This window comes from Homo sapiens, chromosome 7 (genome assembly GCF_000001405.40).
Source record: "Homo sapiens chromosome 7, GRCh38.p14 Primary Assembly".
NCBI lineage: Eukaryota > Metazoa > Chordata > Mammalia > Primates > Hominidae > Homo > Homo sapiens.
In genome coordinates this window covers 77,513,816-77,538,324 of record NC_000007.14, presented here as the reverse complement: position 1 = coordinate 77,538,324, position 24,509 = coordinate 77,513,816, and the positions used below count along the sequence as shown (strand labels likewise).

The 24,509-nt window shown below is 44.1% G+C and overlaps 1 protein-coding gene and 1 long non-coding RNA gene across 8 annotated transcripts in view, besides 7 other annotated features; one reads left to right on the top strand and one right to left on the bottom strand.

Annotated features, from left to right (window-relative positions):
• The window catches only part of PTPN12 (protein tyrosine phosphatase non-receptor type 12), a 102,775-nt gene extending 101,745 nt beyond the window's left edge, over window positions 1-1,030 (bottom strand). For 3 of the 5 annotated variants that reach the window (NM_001131008.2, NM_001131009.2, XM_017012474.3), the window contains exon 1: window positions 219-282. Coding sequence is in view for 2 of the 5 variants with exons in the window: in NM_002835.4 (NP_002826.3) it covers window positions 680-778 (99 nt within the window). In the remaining 3 variants the exon portion in view is untranslated. Of the gene's footprint in view, window positions 1-218; window positions 283-679 lie in introns of those variants that run through there. The other 2 variants (NM_002835.4, XM_006716073.5) reach the window with 1 other exon arrangement.
• Window positions 491-540: a silencer, noted in NCBI's record as "silent region_18326". NCBI's record gives its function as "represses an Ori minimal core promoter by ATAC-STARR-seq in GM12878 lymphoblastoid cells {active_cell/tissue: GM12878}" and the evidence as "EXISTENCE:reporter gene assay evidence [ECO:0000049][PMID:35858748]".
• Window positions 681-890: a silencer, noted in NCBI's record as "silent region_18325". NCBI's record gives its function as "represses an Ori minimal core promoter by ATAC-STARR-seq in GM12878 lymphoblastoid cells {active_cell/tissue: GM12878}" and the evidence as "EXISTENCE:reporter gene assay evidence [ECO:0000049][PMID:35858748]".
• Window positions 1,141-1,440: a silencer, noted in NCBI's record as "silent region_18324". NCBI's record gives its function as "represses an Ori minimal core promoter by ATAC-STARR-seq in GM12878 lymphoblastoid cells {active_cell/tissue: GM12878}" and the evidence as "EXISTENCE:reporter gene assay evidence [ECO:0000049][PMID:35858748]".
• Window positions 1,376-23,243, top strand: LOC124901681 (uncharacterized). Of its 3 annotated transcripts, XR_007060395.1 has the most exons (3): window positions 1,376-1,954; window positions 2,044-4,116; window positions 22,895-23,243. It is a non-coding gene; the product is annotated as an uncharacterized LOC124901681 (long non-coding RNA). The 3 variants fall into 3 exon arrangements; XR_007060394.1 differs by lacking the exon at window positions 1,376-1,954 and having other exon boundaries at window positions 2,041-4,116; XR_007060396.1 differs by lacking the exons at window positions 1,376-1,954; window positions 2,044-4,116 and adding an exon at window positions 15,636-18,481.
• Window positions 1,511-1,730: an enhancer, noted in NCBI's record as "active region_26206". NCBI's record gives its function as "activates an Ori minimal core promoter by ATAC-STARR-seq in GM12878 lymphoblastoid cells {active_cell/tissue: GM12878}" and the evidence as "EXISTENCE:reporter gene assay evidence [ECO:0000049][PMID:35858748]".
• Window positions 1,901-1,950: an enhancer, noted in NCBI's record as "active region_26205". NCBI's record gives its function as "activates an Ori minimal core promoter by ATAC-STARR-seq in GM12878 lymphoblastoid cells {active_cell/tissue: GM12878}" and the evidence as "EXISTENCE:reporter gene assay evidence [ECO:0000049][PMID:35858748]".
• Window positions 11,750-12,249: an enhancer, noted in NCBI's record as "H3K4me1 hESC enhancer chr7:77155393-77155892 (GRCh37/hg19 assembly coordinates)". NCBI's record gives its function as "activates a minimal SCP1, AML or CMV promoter by ChIP-STARR-seq in primed H9 embryonic stem cells {active_cell/tissue: H9 hESC(primed)}" and the evidence as "EXISTENCE:reporter gene assay evidence [ECO:0000049][PMID:30033119]".
• Window positions 12,250-12,751: an enhancer, noted in NCBI's record as "H3K4me1 hESC enhancer chr7:77154891-77155392 (GRCh37/hg19 assembly coordinates)". NCBI's record gives its function as "activates a minimal SCP1, AML or CMV promoter by ChIP-STARR-seq in primed H9 embryonic stem cells {active_cell/tissue: H9 hESC(primed)}" and the evidence as "EXISTENCE:reporter gene assay evidence [ECO:0000049][PMID:30033119]".
• Window positions 23,244-24,509: the final 1,266 nt, after the last annotated feature.

Here is a 24,509-nt window from a genome sequence, read left to right as displayed (position 1 = left end):
ATAGTCACACGGACCCCAAGACCACCTCAAACCTGGGCCTCAGGAGAGGAGAAGCGGGACGCGGGTAAATGGAAATTAGGTAAACCCATGAGATTCCTTATGGGCAATCCTTTCCCAAGCGTTGGAGATCATGACTGCGACCCCAGAAACGGCCTAAGTCCTACCCTGCCCGCTTTGAGACCAGCTAGAGCAAAGGGATCCCAGGAGTTAGTGCCAACCTCAATACCCCCGTTCCTCTGTCAGCCACGATCTGCACTCCTCCCGGTCACAGCCAGATACCTTGCCTCGACCCTCCTGGGAGGAGCGAACTGCGCGGGGAGGTGTGGAAACGCGAGCCCCCCCCCCCGGCCTGCACCTCACTTGCCTACGGCTCCCGGCCCGGTAAACAATAGGTGGTCGCGAGCCACGGTGCAGGCTGCGGGCTCGGCCGCGCGGCCGCTCCCTTCGCGTCCCGGGAACCCGCGCGGGGGTCGCGAACATGGGAGAAGAAAGGAGGCCACGGGGGGAGGCGCTCTCGCCTCCCGCTGGCCTCCGAGACCACCCGGCTCACCCGGCTGGTGCGCGCCCCCTCCGCCCCTCTCCTCACAGAGGTACACAAAGCACTGGCGGCCCGGCCGGGAGAGGCGGCGATGGGCTCCGGCGCCGGCAAGAAAACGCGACAGCGAGGGGAGAGACTCACCATGAAGTCCCGGGCGAAGTTGTCCTCCCCATTGTGGTCAGGACTCTTCATGGCCTGGACCCTCTGGATGAATTTCCTCAGGATCTCCACTTGCTCCATCCTCCCGCGTCCCCCCGGCTGCGGTCGCTGGCCCCCCCGCCGCCCGCCCGCCCGGCACAGAGCCCGCTCCGTCTTCCCCAGCTCGTTCCCCCAGCACGTCCCTCCCTCCCGACCCCGCCAAGCCCCGCGGCTCCCTCCTCCTCCCCACCGCCCTAGGCGGCGGCTGCGGCGGCACCGGCTGGGCTCCCGACACCACAACTTCCAGGAGCAGCCGCCGCTCTCCCACAGTACCAGGCGAGCCGCTGCGCTAGCGCCAACCCCAACCCCCAGCTTGCTCCATCCTCCTTCCCCGCCCTCCTCCTCCGTCGGAGACGCCGCCGCCGCCGCCGCCGCCGCCGCCGCCTCAGGAACACAGCTAGCTCTCCGCTCGCCCTGCCCCCCCTTCCCGGTTCCTCCTCCCCCCCACCCCCCGCCAGCAGCCGCAGCCGCAGCCGCAGCCGCCTCTCCCCACGGGCGCGTCCCCGCCGCCACCCAGATGCGCGGCCTCGCGCTGCGGCTCCGCCCCAAGCGCTGCGCCCGCAGATGCATCCCCGCCCGCCTCCCGGCCACGCCCCCAAGCCCGCCCCGCCGGCCCCAGCCCCGCTTGGAGTGGCTGGAAGGCACTTCAGCGGGCGGCCTGGAGACCTGACTCCATTTCCGGGGCGTGGCCCCGCCCGGGGTGCTCAGAGGTCGGAGTATCGCTGGGAGGAGAGTTGGTTCATTTGGAGGAGGGAATGCGACTCTGAGCGGGCCAAGCCCTAGTGGGTCAGAGTAGGATTCTGATGGAATTTGCGGTCTCACCGCCTACTAGGGAGGAAAAGCAGTTTTCAGGAGTCCCGCACCGCCGCCAGCCGTGGGCTGGGACTACAAGTCACGGTCTGTGGAGTCCAGGAGTGGGGGCGGGCGGGAGGCAGGCTGGGAGCTGTAGTAGTGTCACCGCCACGTTCGCAGCAGGTAGATGCTCATCTTGCTAACGGATTGGTGAGAGTGGACAGCAATTAGGCTTTGGCACCTTGGAGCGTGGCTCCAGCTAAGGGAAGCGAAACGCTTCCTGGGTGAGAGGACTTTTATTCTTTGCTCATCCTCTTAAACCTGGCGAGTGAGCGCCTGAGGTTCGGAGTGCCTTCTTCACAGACGACGCGAATGTGGGGTCTTCGTGTTTGCCGAACTGAAGGGAATTTGCCTTCCTGCCTTTAGGTTCGCAGCAGTTCATAACTGAATAAGAGACTTTCCTCCATAGAATGGACTTTATAAATCTATTAATTTTTTTTTTTTTTTTTTTTTAGAGCTAAGGTCTTGCTCTATCTCCCATGCCAAAGTGCAGTGCTATGATCACGGCTCGCTGCAGCCTTGAACTCCTGGGCTCAAGGCATCCTCCTGCCTCACTACGTCACCAAGCCCAGCTAATACATTTTAAAAATTTATTATTTATTTATTTATTTATTTTTGGTAGAGAAGGGGGTCTCACCAGGTTGCCCAGGCTGATCTCGAATTCCTGTGCACTAGGGATCCTCAGCTTCCGAAAGTGTTGGGATTTTAGGCGTGAGCCACCGCGCCTAGCCTATAAATCTTTATTCATCTTTGTAAACTTCTATCAGAGAATATATTCTGGTCTAACTCATCATTTTACAAATAAAGCGACTTCCTGACATCCCCCAGCGTATTCTTAGCAGAGCCGTAACTAGAAGTTATTTTACTTTCACAACAGTGGCCTCTCACAATGTGACAGAACTGAAGGATTTGATCCATGAACTGACTTTCGTCATTTATACCCACAAACCTTTTTTTACAGAGCAGATTGGTCAGCGAATTTGGTTATAATAGGAAATATCAGTGGTAGAATACTTTCTCAGATGAAAGTTAGGAGCACTATGGAATTTAGTGAAAAACTCATTGAAGAAAATAGGTGTAGGCCGGGCGCGGTGGCTCACGCCTGTAATCCCAGCACTTTGGGAGGCCGAGATGGGAGGATCACCTGAACCCGGGAGGCGGAGGTTGCAGTGAGCTGTGATCACACCATTGCACCCCAACCTGGGCGACGGGAGTGAGGCCCTGTCTCAAAAAAAAAAAAAAGAAAAGAAAATAGGTGTAACAGGATATAGTTTATTTACTTCTTCAAAAAAAGGAAAATATTTCTGTTAAAATAATCCAACTAATACATCCACTCCAGAAATATGCACTTCAGACCAGGTGCAGTGGCTCACACCTGTAATCCTAGCACTTCGGGAGGCCGAGTTGGGTGGATCACTTGAGGTCAGGAGTTCGAGACCAACCTGGCCGATATGGTGAAACCCTGTCTCTGCTAAAAATACAAAGCCGGGTGTGGTGGTGCACGCCTGTAGTCCCAGGTACTCCAGAGGCTGAGGCAGAAGAATCGCCTGAACCTGAGAGGCGGAGATTGCAGTGAGCCGAGGTCGTGCCACCACACTCCAGCCTGGGTGAAAGAGCGAGAGTCTGTCTCAAAAAATAAAAATAAAAAGGCCAGGCGCGATGGTTCACACCTGTAATCCCAACCCTTTGGGAGGCCGAGGCGGGCGGATCACCTGAGGTCAGGAGTTCAAGACCAGCCTGGCCAATATGGTGAAACCAACCCCGTCTTTACTAAAAATACAAAAAATTAGCCGGGCGTGGTGACGCATGCCTGTAATCCCAGCTAGTCAGGAGGCTGAGGCAGGAGAATTGCTTGAACCCAGGAGGCGGAGGTTGCATTGAGCGAGATCACGCCATTGCACTCCAGCCTGGGCAACAAGAGCGAAACTCTGTCTCTAAAAAAAAAAAAGAGCCTCCCTGCCTGATTCTCCTGCCTCCGCCTGCGGAGTGCCTGCAATTGCAGGCGCGCGCCGCCACGCCTGACTGGTTTTCGTATTTTTTTGGTGGAAACGGGGTTTCGCTGTGTTGGCCGGGCTGGTCTCCAGCTCCTAACCGCGAGTGATCCGCCAGCCTCGGCCTCCCGAGGTGCCGGGATTGCAGACGGAGTCTGGTTCACTCAGTGCTCAATGGTGCCCAGGCTGGAGTGCAGTGGCGTGATCTCGGCTCGCTACAACCTCCACCTTCCAGCCGCCTGCCTTGGCCTCCCAAAGTGCCGAGATTGCAGCCTCTGCCCGGCCGCCACCCCGTCTGGGAAGTGAGGAGCGTCTCTGCCTGGCCGCCATCACATCTAGGAAGTGAGGAGCCTCTCTGCCCGGCCGCCATCCCATCTGGGAAGTGAGGAGCGCCTCTTCCGGCCGCCATCACATCTAGGAAGTGAGGAGCGTCTCTGCCCGGCCGCCCATCGTCTGGGATGTGGGGAGCGCCTCTGCCCCGCCGCCCCGTCTGGGATGTGAGGAGCGCCCCTGCCCGGCTGCCACCCCGTCTGGGAGGTGAGGAGCGTCTCTGCCCGGCTGCCCCGTCTGAGAAGTGAGGAGACCCTCCGCCCGGCAGCCACCCCGTCTGGGAAGTGAGGAGCGTCTCCGCCTGGCAGCCACCCTGTCCCGGAGGGAGGTGGGGGGGGTCAGCCCCCCGCCAGGCCAGCCGCCCCGTCCGGGAGGGAGGTGGGGGGGTCAGCCGCCGGCCAGGCCAGTCGCCCCGTCCGGAGGGAGGTGGGGGGGTCAGACCCGCCCGGCCAGTCGCCCCGTCCGGGAGGGAGGTGGGGGGGTCAGCCCCCCGCCCGCCAGCCGCCCCGTCCAGGAGGTGAGGGGCGCCTCTGCCCGGCCGCCCCTACTGGGAAGTGAGGAGTCCCTCTGCCCGGCCAGCCGCCCCGTCCGGGAGGGAGGTGGGGGGGTCAGCCCCCCGCCCGGCCAGCCGCCCAGTCCGGGAGGGAGGTGGGGGGGGTCAGCCCCCCGCCCGGCCAGCCGCCCAGTCCGGGAGGGAGGTGGGGGGGTCAGCCCCCTGCCCGGCCAGCCGCCCCGTCCGGGAGGGAGGTGGGGGGGTCAGCCCCCCGCCCGGCCAGCCGTCCCGTCCGGGAGGTGAGGGGCGCCTCTGCCCGGCCGCCCCTACTGGGAGGTGGGGAGCCCCTCTGCCTGGCCAGCCGCCCCGTCCGGGTGGGAGGTGGGGGGGTCGGCCCCCCGCCCGGCCAGCCGTCCCTTCCGGGAGGTGAGGGGCGCCTCTGCCCGGCCGCCCCTACTGGGAAGTGAGGAGCCCCTCTGCCCGGCCACCACCCCGTCTGGGAGGTGTGCCCAGCAGCTCATTGAGAACGGCCAGGATGACAATGGCGGCTTTGTGGAATAGAAAGGGGGGAAAGGTGGGGAAAAGATTGAGAAGTCGGATGGTTGCCGTGTCTGTGTAGAAGTAGACATGGGAGACTTTTCATTTTGTTCTGTACTAAGAAAAATTCTTCTGCCTTGGGATCCTGTTGATCTGTGACCTTACCCCCAACCCTGTGCTCTCTGAAACATGTGCTGTGTCCACTCAGAGTTAAATGGATGAAGGGCGGTGCAAGATGTGCTTTGTTAAACAGATGCTTGAAGGCAGCATGCTCATTAAGAGTCATCACCACTCCCTAATCTCAAGTACCCAGGGACACAAACGCTGCGGAAGGCCGCAGGGTCCTCTGCCTAGGAAAACCAAAGACCTTTGTTCACTTGTTTATCTGCTGACCTTCCCTCCACTATTGTCCTATGACCCTGCCAAATCCCCCTCTGTGAGAAACACCCAAGAATGATCAATAAAAAACAAAACAAAACAAAACAAAAACAAAAAAACAAAAAAAAGAAAAAAGAAAAAAATGCACTTCAAGTTATGCCCTTCCAAATTTTTTCCTATGCATTTATATATGTGTGTGCATGCAAAGAGATACAGTTTTGCTCTGTATTTCAAAAATTCACTTAGAGGAATAGTTTAATTTCTAAGGTAAACTTTATTTGAAAAAAGGGCCCGCAGTATTTTACTTTAACCAGATACTGAGACTGAGTTTCACGGGATGTGAGGAAATGCCAGAATCAGGGCTTGATCATGCTTATTGTAGATGGCCCTTTCCCCTCAGAAATGGGAGAGAAATTCGACTGTAGGAAGAGAAATGGAAGGATGATCAGAAGTGCCTCTGCTTTTGATGGTTCAAAAGAATGTACCAACCAGACAATGATCGGTAAAGAAGATATGCTGAACAAGTTGTGTAACAGTCTAGTACGGTTTGGTATAGTGTTGGGTAAGAAGTGTTACTTGTTTAAGGTATTGAGTCCCATTTTGGCTGGTGTTTTTAGTCTTTTTTAAAATGTTTCGTCTTATTGGCAAGCTTCTCTCTCTTTCTTGCAACACTTGAGAGTTTCTTGAGTTCTCAGCGGCTACCTTTGGCATCTACTGCTAGGTTTGGGAAAATTTATGTAAACTATCTCCAAGGATTTCAATTCTTTTTTTTCTTTTTTTTTCTTTTTTGAGATGGAGTCTTCCTTAGTCGCACAGGCTGGAGTGCAGTGGCGCGATCTCGGCTCACTGCAACCTGAGCCTCCTGGTTCAAGTGATTCTCCTGCCTCAGCCTCCCAGTAGCTGGGCTTACAGGTGCCTGCCACCACGCCCGGCTAATTTTTTTGAATTTTTAGTAGAGATGGGGTTTCACAACGTTGGCCAGGCTAGTCTCGAACCCCTGACCTCAAATGATTAACCCACCTCGGCCTCCCAAAGTGCTGGGATTACAGGCGTGAACCACCAAGCCCCGCCAGGATTTCAGTTCTTTGGAAAGGCTTAGCAGTGCTTTCCTTGGTACCTTGCTAGCTTTTTCTTCTTCTTCTTCTTCTTCTTCTTTTTTTTTTTTTTTTTGAGACAAAGTCTCACTCTGTCGCCCAGGCTGGAGTGCAGTGGCGTGATCTCGGCTCACTGCAAGCTCCACCTCCCGGGTTCCATGCCATTCTCCTGCCTCAGCCTCCCGAGTAGCTTGGACTACAGGCGCCCGCCCCCATGCCTGACTAATTTTTTTGTATTTTTAGTAGAGACAGGGTTTCACCATGTTAGCCAGGATGGTCTCGATCTCCTGACCTCGTGATCCACCCACCTCGGCCTCTCAAAGTGGCTTTTTCTTCTTTTCAATACATTTAGGTCTTGTTTCAATCTACATATGGCTTTTTAACATATCAACATATGAGGGTTTATGCTGTGTGTGTCAGATACAAAAATGTTATAGAGATGGCTCCTACTCCTAAGGAATGAATATCTTAGTTCAGGAGACAGGAAAAACAATAAACTCTTAGTTACTTTAAGTTAATAAATGTGAAAGAGTGATACAGATAATAAGTGATTTAACAGTTCTGAGGAGAGAGAATTGTGGACCGGGCTGTCAGCATGGGGTGGTCACAGAGGTAGACCTTAAAGGGTAAGTTAAATTAGGTTTGAACAGGAAGTAGAACGCCCAGGCAAGAGAAGTGATAAGCATGAAGACAGCAAAGCAGAAGTTTGAAGTAGAACATTTGTATAGATGTGAAAGCTCCAAAGTAGACTAGGCTCTGGAGAATGTTGATACTGTAGGCATGGGAGCCACAAGAGGTTTCTGAGGATAGAAGCAAAATTATGGAAATGAGGAAAATAGTAATCTGGTACTTTTCTGATAAATTGTGAATGAGAGAGAAGGGAATGAGAGATATTAGGAGCCAATACATGAAACAACAAAAATAAAAGTAAGAAGTGGCCGGGCACGGTGGCTCACGCATGTAATCCCAGCACTTTGGGAGGCCAAGGCGGGCAGATCACGAGGTCAGGAGATCGAGACCATCCTGGCTAACACGGTGAAACCCCGTCTCTACTTAAAAAAAAAAAATACGAATAATTAGCCGGGCGTGGTGGCTGGAGCCTGTAGTCCCAGCTACTCCGGAGGCTGAGGCAGGAGAATGGCGTGAACCCAGGAGGCAGAGCTTGCAGTGAGCTGAGATCACGCCACTGCACTCCAGCCTGAGTGACAGAGCAAGACTCCGTCTCAAAAAAAATAAAATAAAAAGTAAGAAATGCAGGCTGGGTGCCCTGGCTCACGCCTGTAATCCCAACACTTTGGGAGGCCAAGGCGGGCAGATCACTTGAGGTCAGGAGTTCGAGACCAGCCTGGCCAACACGATGAAACCCTGTCTCTACTAAAAATACAAAAATTACCCAGGCGTGGTGATGTGTGCCTGTAATCCCAGCTAGTCGGGAGGCTGAGGCAGGAGGATTGCTTAAGCCCCGGAGTTCCAAGCTGGAGTGAGCCATGATTGTACCGCTGCACTCTAGCTTGGGCAACAGAGCAAGACCCTGTCTCAGAAAAAAAAGCTGGGTGGAAGGAGGCAGATCTTGTTTGGGAGATTTTTAAAAATGGCACATGGTAGGTCCAGCTTTAGAAAGCTCACCTACCTATACTATAGTCTCAGGGAAATTTACTGCTCTGCCTATCCTCTGTCACAGCCACGTGTTTGGGCAGTTGAGAAGTTAATCAGCCCATACAGACTGGCCAGCAACCTATGTCCTGGTATAAGAAGATGGTCTGGGCCAATCAGTTCTCACTCTTAGGAATCTGAATTTGGAAACCTAGAAAGAGTAAGTCATTATGCAGCAAGGGCAGAAGCTGAATGTATGCCATGGGGTAGAATTAGCGATTTGAAGCCTTGAGAGAGAGTAGAAAGTATAAAGAATCTGATTAGGAAGAGAACATTAGGATGCACTCAGTGGCTCACGCCTGTAAGCCCAGCATTTCGGGAGGCTGAGGCGAGCACATCACTTGAGGCCAGGAGTTCGAGACCAGCCTGGCCAACATGGCGAAACCCCGTATCTATAAAGTAAAATAAAATAAACTTTTAAAGGAAAGAAAAGAACATTAAGCAGACATGCAGCAATATGTGGGTATGTCACAACATAACCCATATGGCCATGGGGGAGATGGGGAGAATCTCCAGAGTAACCTGACTTCCGATAAACTTTTAGGAGAGGTTCAGTTGACATTTATTCCATAAGTAAATTTTGCTTTTCTTGAAACAGAATAGGGCAGTAATAAAGAGCGTGGGCTCTGAAGTCAGAGAAATGAAGGTTCAAAAACCTGTTCCATTTCTTGTTCAGGGTAAGTCACTTAAGCTGTCTAAGCATCAGTTTCCTCTTTTAGGAAAGCCACCTGGTGCTGGCTTAATGAGATAATGTTTCAGCAGTGGTGTACTATATACTTACTCATAGAAAACACAAAATAGGCCAGGCGCAACGGCTCACACCTGCAATCCCAGCACTGTGGGAGGCTGAGACAGGAGAATTGCTTGAGCCCAGGAGTTTGAGAACAGCCTAGGCAACACAGTGAGACCCAGTCTCTACAAAAAAAATTTTTAAATTACCCAGGCGTGGTGGTGCATACCTGTAGTCCCAGCTACTTGGGAGGCTGAGGTGGGAGGATTGCTTGAACCTCGGAGGTTGAGGTTGAGGCTGCAGTGAACTCTGATGCCACTGAATTCCACCCTAGGCAACAAAGCAAGACTCTGTCTCAAAAAGAAAAGAAAAACAAAACACAAAATAATAACTGGTTAAAGACCGTTAATGATTTCTGGGTCTTGTGCTTTTTTACCTCCTTCCTCATCTCTTTAGGCCCTTTTCCTACTCACTAGCTACATCACTCTGGGTAAATACAGGAGGAATGAGAAGAAAGCTAAATTTCATTTTTAAAAAAATCTCTCTTCTTACTACTTTTGTGAAGGTCTGAGTGGGAAGGAATTTAAAACTAATAATCCAAAAGAGGTTTCAGGATGATCTACTTGTTTCATGTTCATATTACCTTTTTTTTCCCTTAGCTCAGGTAAAATTAATGCTTTAAATGTGTGGAAATTTTAACTTTTGGGGTGTTTTCACATCTATACTCATACAAGCTACCTTTGTTATGGCTTTCACAGCATTTTATAGCTCTTTGTGAGTTCTGTTCTTTTTTTTTTTTTTACAACCCTGGGAAGTAATTTCATATCATTTTCTTCATTAATAGATAAAAGCTAAATGAAGCACAGTGAGTGAACATGATTAGCTTACTTGTGGAAAACAAATGTCAGACACATGGCCAAAGCTTACAGGTCCTGAGTTTCCAGATTGTTGCATAAACCACTGAGTCACAATGATTCTATACCTGGTGTGATTTAAGTGAAACTGCAGGTGAAGGTTGAAATCATTCCTGAGAGTCTCCCACAATGGCATTTCTAATATTAACCTGTCATTTCATTCTGCATTCCTCAGTCCTCTCCATACTCTGAAACTATATTTAAGATAGACTTTTGGGTGGGAGGTTATGAGAGAGTGAATGAGAAGCTAGGGAAATTCTTGTTTATCCTGGTATCCTATTTATTCCTTCTTTCTAGCCATAGTCACAGCAAATGTTGACCATTTTTTAATCTGAGTTTTTTGTTGAAATGTGTCATCTAATAAATAGGAAACTGGCAGTAAGGGAGCATAACTTTTTAGTTTCCTACGGTAACATAAAATTTTCAGAAGACACATAAAAATGAAGAGAAGTTTGGAAGGGATGAAATCTCTCTAATATTCAATGTGTATTTCAAAGCTTAATATGTCAGAGCTTTTTCATATATCACATCCTGTTTATCCTTATAACTCTACCCTTAAGTAGGTAGGTCAGGTATTATTTTATATATATATATATATATATTTTTTTTTTTTTTTTTTTGAGAAGGAGTCTCTCTTTGTCCCCAGGCTGGAGTACAGTAGTATAATCTTGGCTCACTGTAACCTCCACCTCCAGGGTTCAAGTGATTCTCCTGCCTCAGCCTCCCAAGTAGCTGGGATTATAGGTGTGCACTGCCATGCCTGGCTAATTTTTTTTTCTTTTCTTTTTTTGGTAGAGACGGGGTTTCAGCATGTTGGCCAGGCTGGTCTCTAACTCCTGACCTTAGGTGATCCACCTGCCTCAACTTCCCGAAGTGTTGGGATTACAGGCATGAGCCACCGCACCCGACCCTATATTCTTTATATATGCATTAGAATACTAGTAAGGATAATAATGCATAACTTTAGAGAAATTAAATTATTTGCCCAAGATCACATAGATGGCAGAACTAGAACTAAAACCCAGATAATTCTCCACTCAATGAAAACTTAAGAGTGTTACACAACAAAGGCTACATACAGTAATAATTAATGCTAACTGCAAGAGAATACAGTCATTAAATCCACCCTGTTCTCTGACCTTTCTATCTCATACTTCTTATGCTGTTTCATTTAACATTCAAAGAAAAATTAAAATTTTATAAATAACTTCAAAGTCAAATACTACCTGACCATCTAATTAGTCGTTTTTCAACATGATGACATTTGGTTTCTGTATTCAAGAATGGATCATTAACAAGGCTTATGAAATATAATTGTGCCATATAAAATTCATTCACTTTATTGATTGAGGTCAGGCCAAACTATCAGCAAAACAAAACAAGCAAAAAATCCCTTTTCTTCAGTGACCACTAATAATTTTAGATTAAAAAAAATGTGCTTCCACTTATTTGAGGTATCTAAAGTAGTTAAACTCATAGAAACAAAATAGAATGGTGGTTACCAGGGGTTGGGGGCAGAAGGGAAAAGGGGAGTTTAATGGGCATAGATTTTCAGATTTGCAAGATAAAAACGTTCTGGAGATCTGTTTCACAACAATGTGAATCAATACAGGTATACTTAATACTAGTAAACTATACACTTAAAAATGGTTAAGATGGCAAATGTATGTGTTTTTCACCACAATATAAATAAATAAAATATATAGTTTGAGATGATAAAAAATGGTTAGTGGTGATGGTTGCACAACAATGTGAATGTACTTAATGTTACTGAGCTATACACTTAAAAATGGTTAAAATGATAAATTTTATGTTAGATATATTGTACTGCAGTTAAAAAAGTATATTTAAAGTTCCATGATTTTATATTTTTATCATATTCACTATTCTGTGAAAATCTTGCACTTCATGTTTCTGTGTTGGCAACTAGAAAGCAGAGATTTCTTTCAACTCTGTTATTTAGCCTATAGTCAAACAAATAATTGGTGTCGTTAGCAGCTATACAAGTCTAAACTAAAATCTATAGAGGGAAATTTCATTTCCAAGAATTGCTGTAATATTATGCAAAAATCTTCTAATGCCCATAGAATTCTAGAAGGCACCTAATGTGCATATTATATGTCATCATTTGATGGTTACCTTACCTTGTCAGTGAATATCACATTTCTTTTATTTATTTATTTATTTTGAGATGGAGTCTCACTCTGTCACCCAGGCTGGAGTGCAGTGGCATGATCTCGGCTCACTGCAAGCTCTGCCTCCCGGGTTCACGCCATTCTCCTGCCTCAGCCTCCCGAGTAGCTGGGACTACAGGCGCCTGCCGATTTTTTAGTTATATTCAAGTTCATTCAGTAGTTGAAACTTTGGTTTTTGTTTTGTTTTAAGACAGGGTCTCTCACTCTGTCACCCAGGTTGGAATGCAGTGACACAGTCATGGCTCACTGCAGCCTTGACCTCTGGGACTCAAGTGATCCACCCACCTCAGCCTCCCGAGTATCCAAGACCACAGGCACACGCCACCACACCCAGCTAATTTTTGTATTTTTTGTAGAGAGTTTCGCCACGTTGCCTAGGCTGGCTTCAAACTCCTGAGCTCAAGCAATCTGCCTGCCTTGGCCTCCCAAAGTGCTGAGATGACAGGCATGAGCCACTGCACCTGGCTCAGTAGTTGAAAATTTGTTAAAAGGTATTTACTGTTAATAGCTAGTTACGATTAGTCTTAGTTTTCAATTAGCAAGCATTTTATGGTTTTAAAATTGTTTTTAATTTCCATTTAATATGCTCTACCAGTTACTTTTTAAAAGTATACTTTTAAAATAGTTTATTTTAAACTTTAGGGCATATCCTTTTTTTTTTTTTTTTCAAAGAAATTAACTATGTAATTTATCAAGGCAATCATCAACTGCCCTTTCCTTGTCAATTTTTAAATAGTTCCATTATTTCAAAATTCTGGTGAAATATTTATTTATATCTTTCTTCAGTAGTAAGTTGTCTCCTAGAGATATTTCATTTCTTTTTCTAGCTGAATGTTTGGTATTTAATATTTCTTCAGTAGATTTCAATTTGCTATCTTTCTGTAGTTCTCACTGAGTGATCTTTCTGTTGTGTTACATGAATACTATTTTTAAGTATATTCATAATATTTCACAAATCCAGTATCATGTGTCATACAGATGAGTCTAGGCAGTGGTTTTATTTCTAATGAGCAATTTGTGAGACATACTATTAATCATGCAATACCTTTAACAGTTGAACTTTTTAATTGTGGGTTTGTGTGTGCGAGGGAGATATTTATGATTTCTACTAAAGCCCTCAAAGCTGCTCAGACAGCCCTTTTGTCCATTTTTGGTCAGCTCCCATGGCTTTATCACTCGCTTCAAGCCCTACACCCTGCTTCTTCATTCTTAGAAAAATGGAGTTATCAAGTTTTAACTCAGTTTCTCCTTTCCAAGTGAAATTGGGAAATCACAAATTTACCCCTATAACTTACTCATTTCTCTCCACTATTAGGATTCTGTTGACCCTCTCTACCCTTTTATGTCTCTTCCTACTCTTGCTGTACAAATATCTCCTCTCCTTTATTGTCAGTCTTTTCCCCTTCAGTGACTCTCCTTATCCTACAAAATGCTCAAGACTCCCACAAACTACTGCCCATCTCATGCAACCCACAACAGTCTGACTACTGGCACATATCTCCTAAAGGACTTCCTACTTGCCAAATCTCATGACCTCTTAGTGTACATCCTTCTTAACCCTTGTGCAGCATTTGACCCTTTTCAGTGAATACCATTCCTTCTTGAAATTCTCCCTTTCCTTAGTTTGTTTTAATTGAAGTGAAATTTATATAATATGTAATTAATCATTTTAAAGTTAACAATTCAGTGGCATTTAGTACATTCACAATATTGTGCAACTACCACATCTATCTAGTTCTAAGACATTTTCGTGTCCCCAAAAGAAAGCCCTATTCCCATTAAACAGTTACTCCCTACTCCTTCCTCCCCTAACATCCTGGCAATCACCAATCTGCATTCTGTCTATATGGATTTACCTATTCTGTATATTTCATATAAAAATGGAATCATATATAATAGTATGTGGCCTCTTGTGTCTGGCTTCTTTCACTTGCATAATGTTTTGTTTCAAATCTTAATATTTTCATATTTGCCTCAGATTTTCAGTAAGAAAACAGTATGGATAGAGTTGAGATGCCTATAGAGTCCTTCCTTTCTCTCCCCAGAAATAACCATTATCTTGTATTTAGAATTTTTATTGTTCCAGTGCATGTATAACTTTATGCTGAGTAGTATCTTGCCTTTAAAAAAATTCTGGTAAAATCACATAACAAAATTTACTATCTTAACCATTTTTAAGTGTTCATTAGTGTTAAATATATTTGCATTGTTGTGCAACAGATCTCCAGAAACTTTTCATCTTGCAAAACTGAATATGTATACTCATTAAACAATGTTCCTTGATTTCCCTGTCCTTCTAGCTCCCAGTAACTACCATTCTACTTTGTTTCTATGAATATAACTATTTTAGATACCTCATACAGGTGGGCTCACATTTATTTGTCTTTTTGTGACTGGCTAATTTCATTTAGTGTAATGTCTTGAAGGTTCATCCATGTTATAGCGTATGAAAGGATTTTCTGCCTTTTTAAAGCTGAATAATATTGCATTATAAGTATATACTACATTTTGTTTATTCTTTCATCCATTGATGGACTTTTGGGCAGTGTTCACTTTTGAGGAGTTGTGAATAGTGTTCCTATGATCATGGTTTTCTGTGGAGAACCAAACTGTTTTCTACAGAAGCTGCATTTTACATTCTCACCAGAAATTGTACAAGGGTTCTAATTTATTCTCATCCTTGCCAACACTTGTTATTTTCCTTTAAAAAATTTTTGGCCATCCTACTGGGTACGAAGTGGTACCTCATTATGGTTTTGATATGCATTTTCCTAATGATTAATGATGTTGAGCATCTTTTGATGTGCTTCTTGGCTATTTGTATATCTTTGGAGGAATGTCTACTCAGCCCTTTGCCTATTTCTCTCTTTCTTTCCTCCTGTAACACTTTATACATTTAACACAATATTTTAGTCCTTACATTGCCTTATACTGGTTTGTTTATATATCTAGGTTATGAGCTCCTTAATGTAGAGATCTATCCCTGTAGCTAATAAATCTCTCCCAAGTTCATAGTAAAAGTCTGGTACATAGTAATACTCAAAAAATACTAAATCTCAGAACTTGCATTTAATTTTTTTTTTTTTTTTTTTTTTTGAGACAGGGTCATACTCTGCCAGCCAGGCTGGAGTGCAGTAATGCGATCTTGGCTCACCTCAGCCTCAACCTCCCAAGCTCAGGCAATCCTCCAGCCTCAACCTCCCAAGTAGTTGAGACTATAGGCACATGCCACCAAGCCCAGCTAATTTTTTGTGTATTTTTGTAGAGACAGGGTTTCATCATGTTGCCCAGGCTGGCCTCGAACTCCTAGGCTCAAGTAATCCAACTGCCTCAGCCTCCCAAAGTGCTGGGATTACAAGTGTGAGCCACTGTGCCTGGCCACAATTTCTACATATATTTTCAGTGAACAAAATAGCTAAAGTAAAATACACTAATTATAAAAAAAAAAAGAAAAAGAAAAACTTTTAAAGAATGTGAAGGCCAGGCATGGTGGCTCACGCCTGTAATTTCAGCACTTTGGGAGGCTGAGGCATGCGGATCGCTTGAGTCTAGGAGTTCGAGACCAGCCTGGGCAACATGGTGAAACCCCATATCTACAAAAAATTAGCTGGGCTTGGTGGCATGCGCCCATAGTCCAGCTACTTGGGAGGCTGCGGTAGGAGGATCGCCTGAGCCTGGGGAGGTTGAGTCTGTGGTGAGCCTTGATCACGCCACTGCACTCCAGCCTGGGCAACAGAGTGAGACCCTGTCTCAAAACAACAACAACAACAACAACAACAAAACAAAACTTTTTGTTATGGAAAATGTCAAATGTGTAAAAGTAAAGAGAATCGTAAAATGAACACCCTTTGATAATTATCGATACAGCATCAATCTGGTTTCATCTAAATCCCTTCCACTCTCTCCCCGCTGGATTATTTTAAAGCAAACCTCAGAAATCATTTTATACATACATAAATACTTTTGACATTTTTAAAGGAAGGATTTGAAGTACTAAACATAGAACTTTAGTTCACCTGAGGTTAACTAACTGAAACCCTCAATTAACTATCCTCCAATTTTAAGAGAACAGGACAAATTGGAAGAAATTATCTGCCATCTCGGAGCTTAAAAAAATTCAACGTAATAGGTTCTAGTCTTAAAACAAATCCAGCATAATTTTCTGAACTTCTACACTTTGAAAAACTCAAATGAGGAACTGATATTCATTACACTGAACTCAAGGTATTGCAAGAGCTAAATTATCACAGAAACAGCCAAGATGAAGTGTTTCACCAGAACCTTCCTATGTTGCAACCCTGCTTATTAAATTTAAATTTTAGTGTGGGAAGTATACTTTTCTATGGTAACTTTTTTTTTTTTTTTGAGACAGAGTTTCACTATTGTCACCCAGGCTGGAGTGCAGTGGTGCGATCTCGGCTCACTGCAAGCTCCACCTCCAGGGTTAAAGTGATTCTTCTGCCTCGGCCTCCCAAGTAGCTGGGATTACAGGCGCTCACCCCCATGCCCAGCTAATTTTTGTATTTTCAGTAGAGACAGGGTTTCACCATGTTGGTCTCAAACTCCTGACCTCAGGTGATCCACCCACCTTGGCCTCCCAAAGTTCTGGGATTACAGGCGTGAGCCACCATGCCCGGCCTATGGTAACATTTTTCAAAAGGACATTTTTGCTGAATCTCATTTTTCCAGAAAATAACGTTTCATTATATTTGGATGTAAAATGACACAGCTAGAATCCCAAAGTGTTTTTTAATTTCATTTAATTTCATTTAATAATGAAGTAGTGTTACGTGAGGATTGTTGAGAATCTTGAAAATTACTGCTATTTACTTCTTGTAATCTAATACACATTTTTTGAACTCTTTCTGTTTCCAACATGTCTTTTGGGACTCGAAACTTCTGAAGTTCTTTTCTGATATGTCTCATGATGACCACTGCAACTGCCTTTGTCCAAGCCAATATCATCTCTCACCTGCCTTTCATGATAGCCTTCTGATTGGTCTCTCTGCATCAGCCCTTTCCTGCCTCTGCCTGAAAGAGTTAAAGCAGTCCTTTTAAAACATGTCAGGTCACCTCACTTCTTGGCTCAGAACCCTCCAGTTGGCTTCCCATCTCACTAAGACATGGCGTGCAATATTCTCAGTAGAAGTGGTATTGCTAAGGTATGTTTTGGAAATTTGTGGGAGTATTTTTGGTTGTACCATAATTAAGTGGTAGCATTGAGTATGTGGGGGTCTGGGCTGCTAGACCATTATACATACTCCCTCACTATAAAGAATTGTCCCTCATCCTCCCGTATGAGTTTTTTAAAAAATCCATTTTTGGCCAGGCGTGGTGGCTCACACTGTAATCCCAGCACTTTGGGAGGCCAAGGCGGGCAGATCACCTGAGGTCAAGAGTTCGAGACAAGCCTGGCCAACGTGGTGAACCCTCGTCTCTACTAAAAATACAAAAAAAAATTAAATGGGCGTGGTGGTGCGTGCCTGTAGTCCCAGCTACTCGGGGAGGCTGAGGCAGGAGAGAATCGCTTGAACCCAGGAGGTGGAGGTTGCAGTGAGCCGAGATCATGCCATTGCATTCCAGCCTGGACAACAAGAGCAAAACTCTGTCTCAAAAAATAATGATAATAATAATAATCCATTTTTGAGGTATGGTTTATCAAAAGTAAAATGTACCCATTTTAAGTGTACAATTTGATGTTTGACACATTTATATATCTGTGTAACCACCACAATAATCAAGGCATAAAACATTCCCATCACCACAAAAAGTTCTCTCATGTGCCTTCTGCATGACCTTTGAATAGCCCGTTGGATATTCTTGAAGGTGAAAAACCTGTTTATAAATATCTGAGCCTAGAAACTAATTACATATATATAAACACAAAATATTTTTAGCATAGTTTTAATGTACACTTGATTTTCCAGAAATGTAACTGTGATGTAAGTTGAGAACAAAATGGTATTTTGTTCAGAATTTTGTCAGAGGTTTGCTATTCTGGAAAAACATGTCAGAGACAGCATCAGCTTCACTATTCATGGCATTTGAGACAAGAAGTCAACATTCCTCTATCAGTCTGCATTTGTAGCTACCACATTTATGTGATTCTACATAAAGGTGTAAACACCTATTTCATTATATCTTTTATGGTGTTCATGTCTGCACATTTACATATTAAAATATATATTATTATAAATTGCTTTCATGCATTTCTCATTTATATTACAGGTTTAGCATTATATTAGTTATTTTGAAGTTAGTTTTGTATATAGTTATAATATCCATAAATTTAATTTCAGCATATGAAGGGAAAAGTATAAAATATTTATTATATAAAAGGGGCACTGGGTCTGTTAGCCTAGAGAAACACTACCCTACATATTCTGACCCAGCCACTTTCTTTTCCTAGATTTCCTCAGTAATTGAATCTACTGTTGGCTGTTCTGCTCTCCACTCCCTTGCTCTGCCCACTAACCACTGGCTTCCCTGCTTTTCCATGCAAGCTCCAGCATATGCCCACCCCTGGACCTCTGTCTGCATTTGCTGTTTGTTTTCTCTGTGGAATGCTCTTCCATCAGGTATCCACATGCTCATTTCCTCCCCTCCTTCGGCTCTTTGCTTAAATGCCACCTGCTCAGTGAGGCTTTGCCTTATCACCCAATTTAAAATTGTACCTCTGTCCCCCGGTACTCCTAATATCTCTTCCCTGTCTTATTTTTCTTAGGGGACTCACTGATCCCTGGACAACTACTTATTTTTTGGTTGCCTGCTGACCTGCCCTTTACCTCACCCCTACAGACACACTGAAATTTAAACTTCATGAGCAGGGCCGCCACATATGGGTTGGTACTGGTGAAAAAAAAATTGTCCAATTCCTCAGCAAAATGACATTTGTTTTGACATGCTACATAATCAGCCCTGGGCTCCCTTTCATGTTTTCCAGGCTGGTATATTGTACTCGCTTCCCTCATCCCCTCGGCCTGTTTAGAAAGGCAGCAGCATCCCTAGAGTTTAAAACAGTGCCAGCACATATTAGGTTCTCTCTCTCTCTCTCTATATATATATATATATAATTTTTATATTTTTTATTATTTATTTATTTATTTATTTATTTATTTTTGAGAAGAAGTCTCGCTCTGTCGCCCAGGCTGGGATGCAATGGCGCGATCTCAGCTCACTGCAACCTCTGCCTCCTGGGTTAGCGATTCTCCTGCTTCAGCCTCCTGAGTAGCTGGGATTACGGGCACCTGCCACCATACCCTGCTAATTTTTGTATTTTTAGTAGAGATGGGGTTTCAGCATTTTGGCCAGGCTGGTCTCAAACTCCTGAACTCAGGCGATCCACCCGCCTCAGCCTCCCAAAGTGCTGGGATTACAGGTGTGAGCCATTGTGCCCAGCCAAGTTCTGTTGTATTCTTTTCTTCATTAAGAGAATTGACAGCTCTGACCTAGTGTTATTTATAAGCCATACCCATAAGTCACACTGATATGTCTCCTACATATGGTATAATAGCCTAAATTATAAAATTATTTATCAATCATATTGCCCCCAGGTATTAGGGGCAATATGTGATATCTTTCTTAAGAATAAAACTGGTAAGGCCGGGCATGGTGGCTCACGCCTATAATCCCAGCACTTTGGGAGGCTGAGGCCGGCAGATCACAAGGTCAGGAGATCGAGATCATCCTGGCTAACATGGTGAAACCCCGTCTCTACTAAAAATACAAAAAATTAGCCGGGCGTGGCAGTGTGTGCCTGTAGTCCCAGCTACTCCCGAGACTGAGGCAGGAGAATGGTGTGAACCCGGGAGGTGGAGCTTGCAGTGAGCCGAGATCGTGCCACTGCACTCCAGCCTGGGCGACAGAGCAATACTCCATCTCAAAAAAAAAAAAAAAAGAATAAAACTGGTGAAACATTGTTAACACAAATAAAATATATGTCATCGATCTGAACTCCTACTGTTTCAAAAATTGAGTTAATTTGCTTGAACTGAGCTAAAATGTTTACCCTTGCATAATCCCTGAGTAAAAGCAGATCCGTGATATAGTATAAACATGATTACAGAAAGATGATCAACCTATTTAAGACAACAACTGACTTGTAAGTAATCATTTGAAGTAATCCTTAATTCGTTCAGGCAATATTTATTAAGCAGCTATATGCGCTAAGCATGGATCTAGAAATATAAGGATATATAAGGGATAGCCACTACTTTTAAGGAATTTGCCTTCTAATAGAAAGGAATACAAACAAGTAACAAGTAGATACAATAATATGTTATAGTCGCCAGGATAGCAGTCTTAGAGGGGACGGGGGTCGGGGTCGGGGATGGAGGTGGGAGTGTAATGGTCTTTTTACCTATGAGATTGGGAATGAGGTAGAAAAGTCTTTAAAGAGAAAGTAACACTTGAACCAAATCTCTGAAGTTAAGAATGTGGTTGTGTGGGCCAAGTGGGTGGTAGGTAGCATTAAGATATTTTTTAAGGCATAAAGAGCAACATGATTCAGAGATTTGAAATAATCCACCTGGTTAGCAGAATTGTTTGGCAGGGGTAAAGCATAGACTACCTACTGTGGGAATGAAGTGAGATAAGGCTGGAGTGGTGGGCAGGGGTCAGGGCATGGATGGCCTGGTACCATGTACTAGAGGAATTTGAACTTTATCTTGTAGGTAGTAGAGAACCAGTGAAGGCCTTTAGGCAGGATAATAACATCACTTCATTTTACTGGTTTATAAGCAATGGATTAATGACGGAGCTAGAAGTAGACTGTTACATACTCCATATAAGCAAAGTCAAGATCCTGAACTAAGAACGTAGCAATCAAGATGAAGAGGAGGAAGACAGATTAGAGAAGTGCTAGAATCTGTAGGGCTTCCTAATCAATTGTAGAGGGAGCTATGGTGAGAGGTATGAGTAAGGAGAGAAGTCACAATCTGAGATATATTCAAGAGCCAGGCAAGTGTATATAAATGAATGAAAGGAGCTTCAGCATCCTTTATGGTCACTGTGAAGACTACATGAACCAGGAGCTCATCTGCTGCTCATCTCCAGCCAGTTGTTCCATGCAGGTAGGATGAAGTGTTGCCTCATCATCTTCTGTTTTTTAAAGAGAAGCCTAAACCTGTATTCTTATGTGAAATCTCCCAAATCTTAAATATTGGCCCAAAGTTTTTAAAAGTACTTCCTGGACCAAATAAAAACAAGTTTAGTAAATAAGCAGGTTGCACCTCTGTTCTGGGGTGATTCCTGGTTTCTACCTTAAATGATTAGAAGCATGGTGCCTGCTAAGAGAGTAGATCTCTCCATATGCTTATATGGATATGTTAATTAGCTTGATTGTGGAAATTATTTCACAATGTATACATATATCAAAACATCACATTGTACACTTTGAATATATACAATTTTTGTCAATTATATCTCTATAAAGCTGGGGGAAAAAACAAGCAAATAAAACCATCAGGTTAAAAAATAAGAAGTATTGTGCTATTCAGATATGAATTAAAGGAGGAGAAGCAGTTCGAGAGGTGGCGTGGAGAACCTGAAGGAGCATTCAGGGTTTGAGGTAGCTTAATTAACAGGAAACTACAAATGCAGGTCTGGAACACAAGAAAAGTATGGACTGGAAAATAAAGATCTTGGAGTTGTCAGTAAATAGATGGTAGATGGAACTGCTGGGAGTGAGTTTTGCCCAAGGAAAACAATATAGAATGGGATCAAAAGAGAACAAGGAACAGAATCTTAGAGAACACTATCATTTAAGAGGCAGGTAGAGAAAGAGAAGCTAGCAAAGGACAATAAGAAGTTGTCAGAGAAGTAGGGAAAGAACTAGAGATAGGTCTTGTAAGTCCAGGGAGATAAATATATTTTAAGTGTCGGATACCTTAAAGAAGTCAAATAAGAATGCAATAAAAGAGGAGGAAGCATGGAGGTGTGCGTGTGTGGGAGAGAGATTATGAGATTATTGTTGATGCGCAAGGCTTAAATGTTGACTAGTTGCTGAAGATGATAGGGACAAGAGGCAGAGTTGCATTATGTTAGAGAATACAATGCCAACTGAGATCCCCTTGGTTCTGTTTTGTTTGTTTTTAGCAAACTTTAACCTTTGCTCTGCTCTCTCAAGTAGACTGTTACTGACAAGTGTTTCCAGTGTTTATGAAGAAAACAATCCCAGGCAGTTAATAGGGAGAATTAGCCAGCTTCCTATATGGCAAGCTCCTGATAGAATCATAGATGGTTGAAGTAGCAAGAAGGTCTTGAATTTGCATAAAGCATTGGATCTCAGTCTTGGTTACGTATTAGAATCAACTATGGGGCTTAAAAAAATACTGATGCCCAGGCCCTGCTCCAAATCAGTTAAATCGGAAGCTCCATGGCCCTGCTCCAAATCAATTAAATCAGAAGCTATTCCCAGTTGATTCTATTATATTTGCAAGATTGAGAATTACTGACCTAGTGGAACTGGAGTCACCCTGAACCACTTGGGAAAAATGATGCAACAATACAGTTACTCCTTCATTTATAATAATAATGATAATTGCTACTATTATTCATAAACTAAAATGTGCAATAAGTACTACATTACTTTCTCTAATTGTTTAAATTCTGTTTTGTGCCTATAATCCCACCTGACTGACAAAAAAAAGAGCAATCCTTTATGCCTCTGTCCTCCCCCAGTTATTCTAGGTTCTGGTCCCTTACACCTGGCCAAGCTGTCAGGTATTATTATGGCATCTTGTTCAGCTAATTAAGCAGTACAACTGAGACAATTGCCACCCCATTTGTCATGTGTGGTGCCTTCCAAGATAGCCCCCAGTGATTCTCACCTCCTGATATTCACACCCTTGTGTTGTGTCCTCCCATGTCATACCAAGGTTGGTCTTTGTGATAAAATTCAGGGAAGTGATGGTGTGTGACTTGTGACACTAGATCCGAAAAGACACGGTGATGTCTGACTTGTTCTCTTGGATGTCTCTCCCTGAGTGAAGCCAGCTACTTTTCATGAGGATACTCAAGCATTCCTATGGAGAGATCCACATGGTGAGAAACTGAAGCCTCCTACCAAGAGCCAGCACCAACTTGCCAGCTATGTGAATGAGCCATCTTAGAAGTGGGTTCTCTAGCCCTAGTCAGGCCTTCATATGACTGCAGCCAGGGCTGATATTTTGACTACAACCTCATGAGAGACTGAGCCACAACAACCTAGCTAAGAAGCTCCTGAATTCCCTACCAACAGAAACTATGTGAGATAATGTTTGTTGTTTTAACTAAGTTTTCAAGTGGTAATTTGTTATACAGAATATGTAACTAATAAAGCATGGCTCCTTTAGGTCTAAATGTTGTCTTTTGCTTACATGATACCCCAGAAGCACAGGAATCCTGCTGTTTCATGAAGCACTTGAGTATGGAAATTCTTGTGAGGTTGCCTCTGTCCCTGTTTGCCCCAACACACCATGTAGTTATTCCTTCACTGGACTTGCACCTTTCTACCAGTCTCTGCTCAGGAAGCAAAGCCTAAGTTTCCTCTTTTCCTAGAAATACAGACCTATTTGTAGACCTCCTGTTCTTCATCTTCAGCCTGCAGATATTTTGTTTTTATCTTGGGGAAATTCTCCTCATTTTTGGCCATGATACTTTGTACTTGAATCTTCTCAACCTCTCCAGGACTTTCGGAAATAAAAGGCAGAAAACTTACAAGCTTGTCTTCTTTCTACCATGTTGTAATGCCTCCCCTGAGACAGTGAACAAAAGGCTAGCTCTTTGAATTTTGTGAGATGTAGAAAGAAAGGGGAAAATGAAGGGAGAAAAAATGTGAATATCTCAAAATACCATCCTACCAGAATTATCAATATGTGATGAGTGCTTACTGTGTGCCAGATACTATACCAAATGCTTTACATATTTTTTCTCATTAAGTACTATTATCAAGCTTATTTTACAAACAAGATGATCAGATTTAGAGAGATTAAGTAAGTTGCCTGAAGTTTCACTGTTTCTAGATGGTAATGCTGAAATTCTACCAGGAATCTCTGACTCCCAGCTCCAACTTTTGACCATTAGCATGCAAGTTCTTTCCATGTGGTTGGGGAGGGAAGAAGGTTGGTCTAAGGGTGCTTTCCTTTGGCTTCATTTCTTCACATAAATGAGGATGCCAATCATACCTAAGACTTGTCTGTCATTAATACATTTCTGACAGTGGCTTCCACTTGGCAACACTTTGTAGGCGAGTGGACCTACTCTGTACACTTGAAATGTTGAAAACTGCACTTCTTCTAAAATACTGTTTGGATCAATCATTTCATTTAGTTAAGCAGGCCATCTGTCTATCCAGCATGTTTTCCAAGTGCCTGTGCGTAGGTACCACGTAAAATGCTGGGGACATCAAGATGAATTCAACACTCACCATGAGCTATGTGTGTGGTGTTTAGATGAAACAGACATAAAAGCTAATTACAGCAGTGAGATAAGTTGTATATCTAAACAGCATATGAATATGTGTTCTGGAATGCAGAAGAAAAGTACTAATTTCAGCTTAGGTATATCAAGGAAAACTTCTCAGAGGTAATAAGCCTTCAAGAATGAGTAGAAATTCACCAGTAGGAC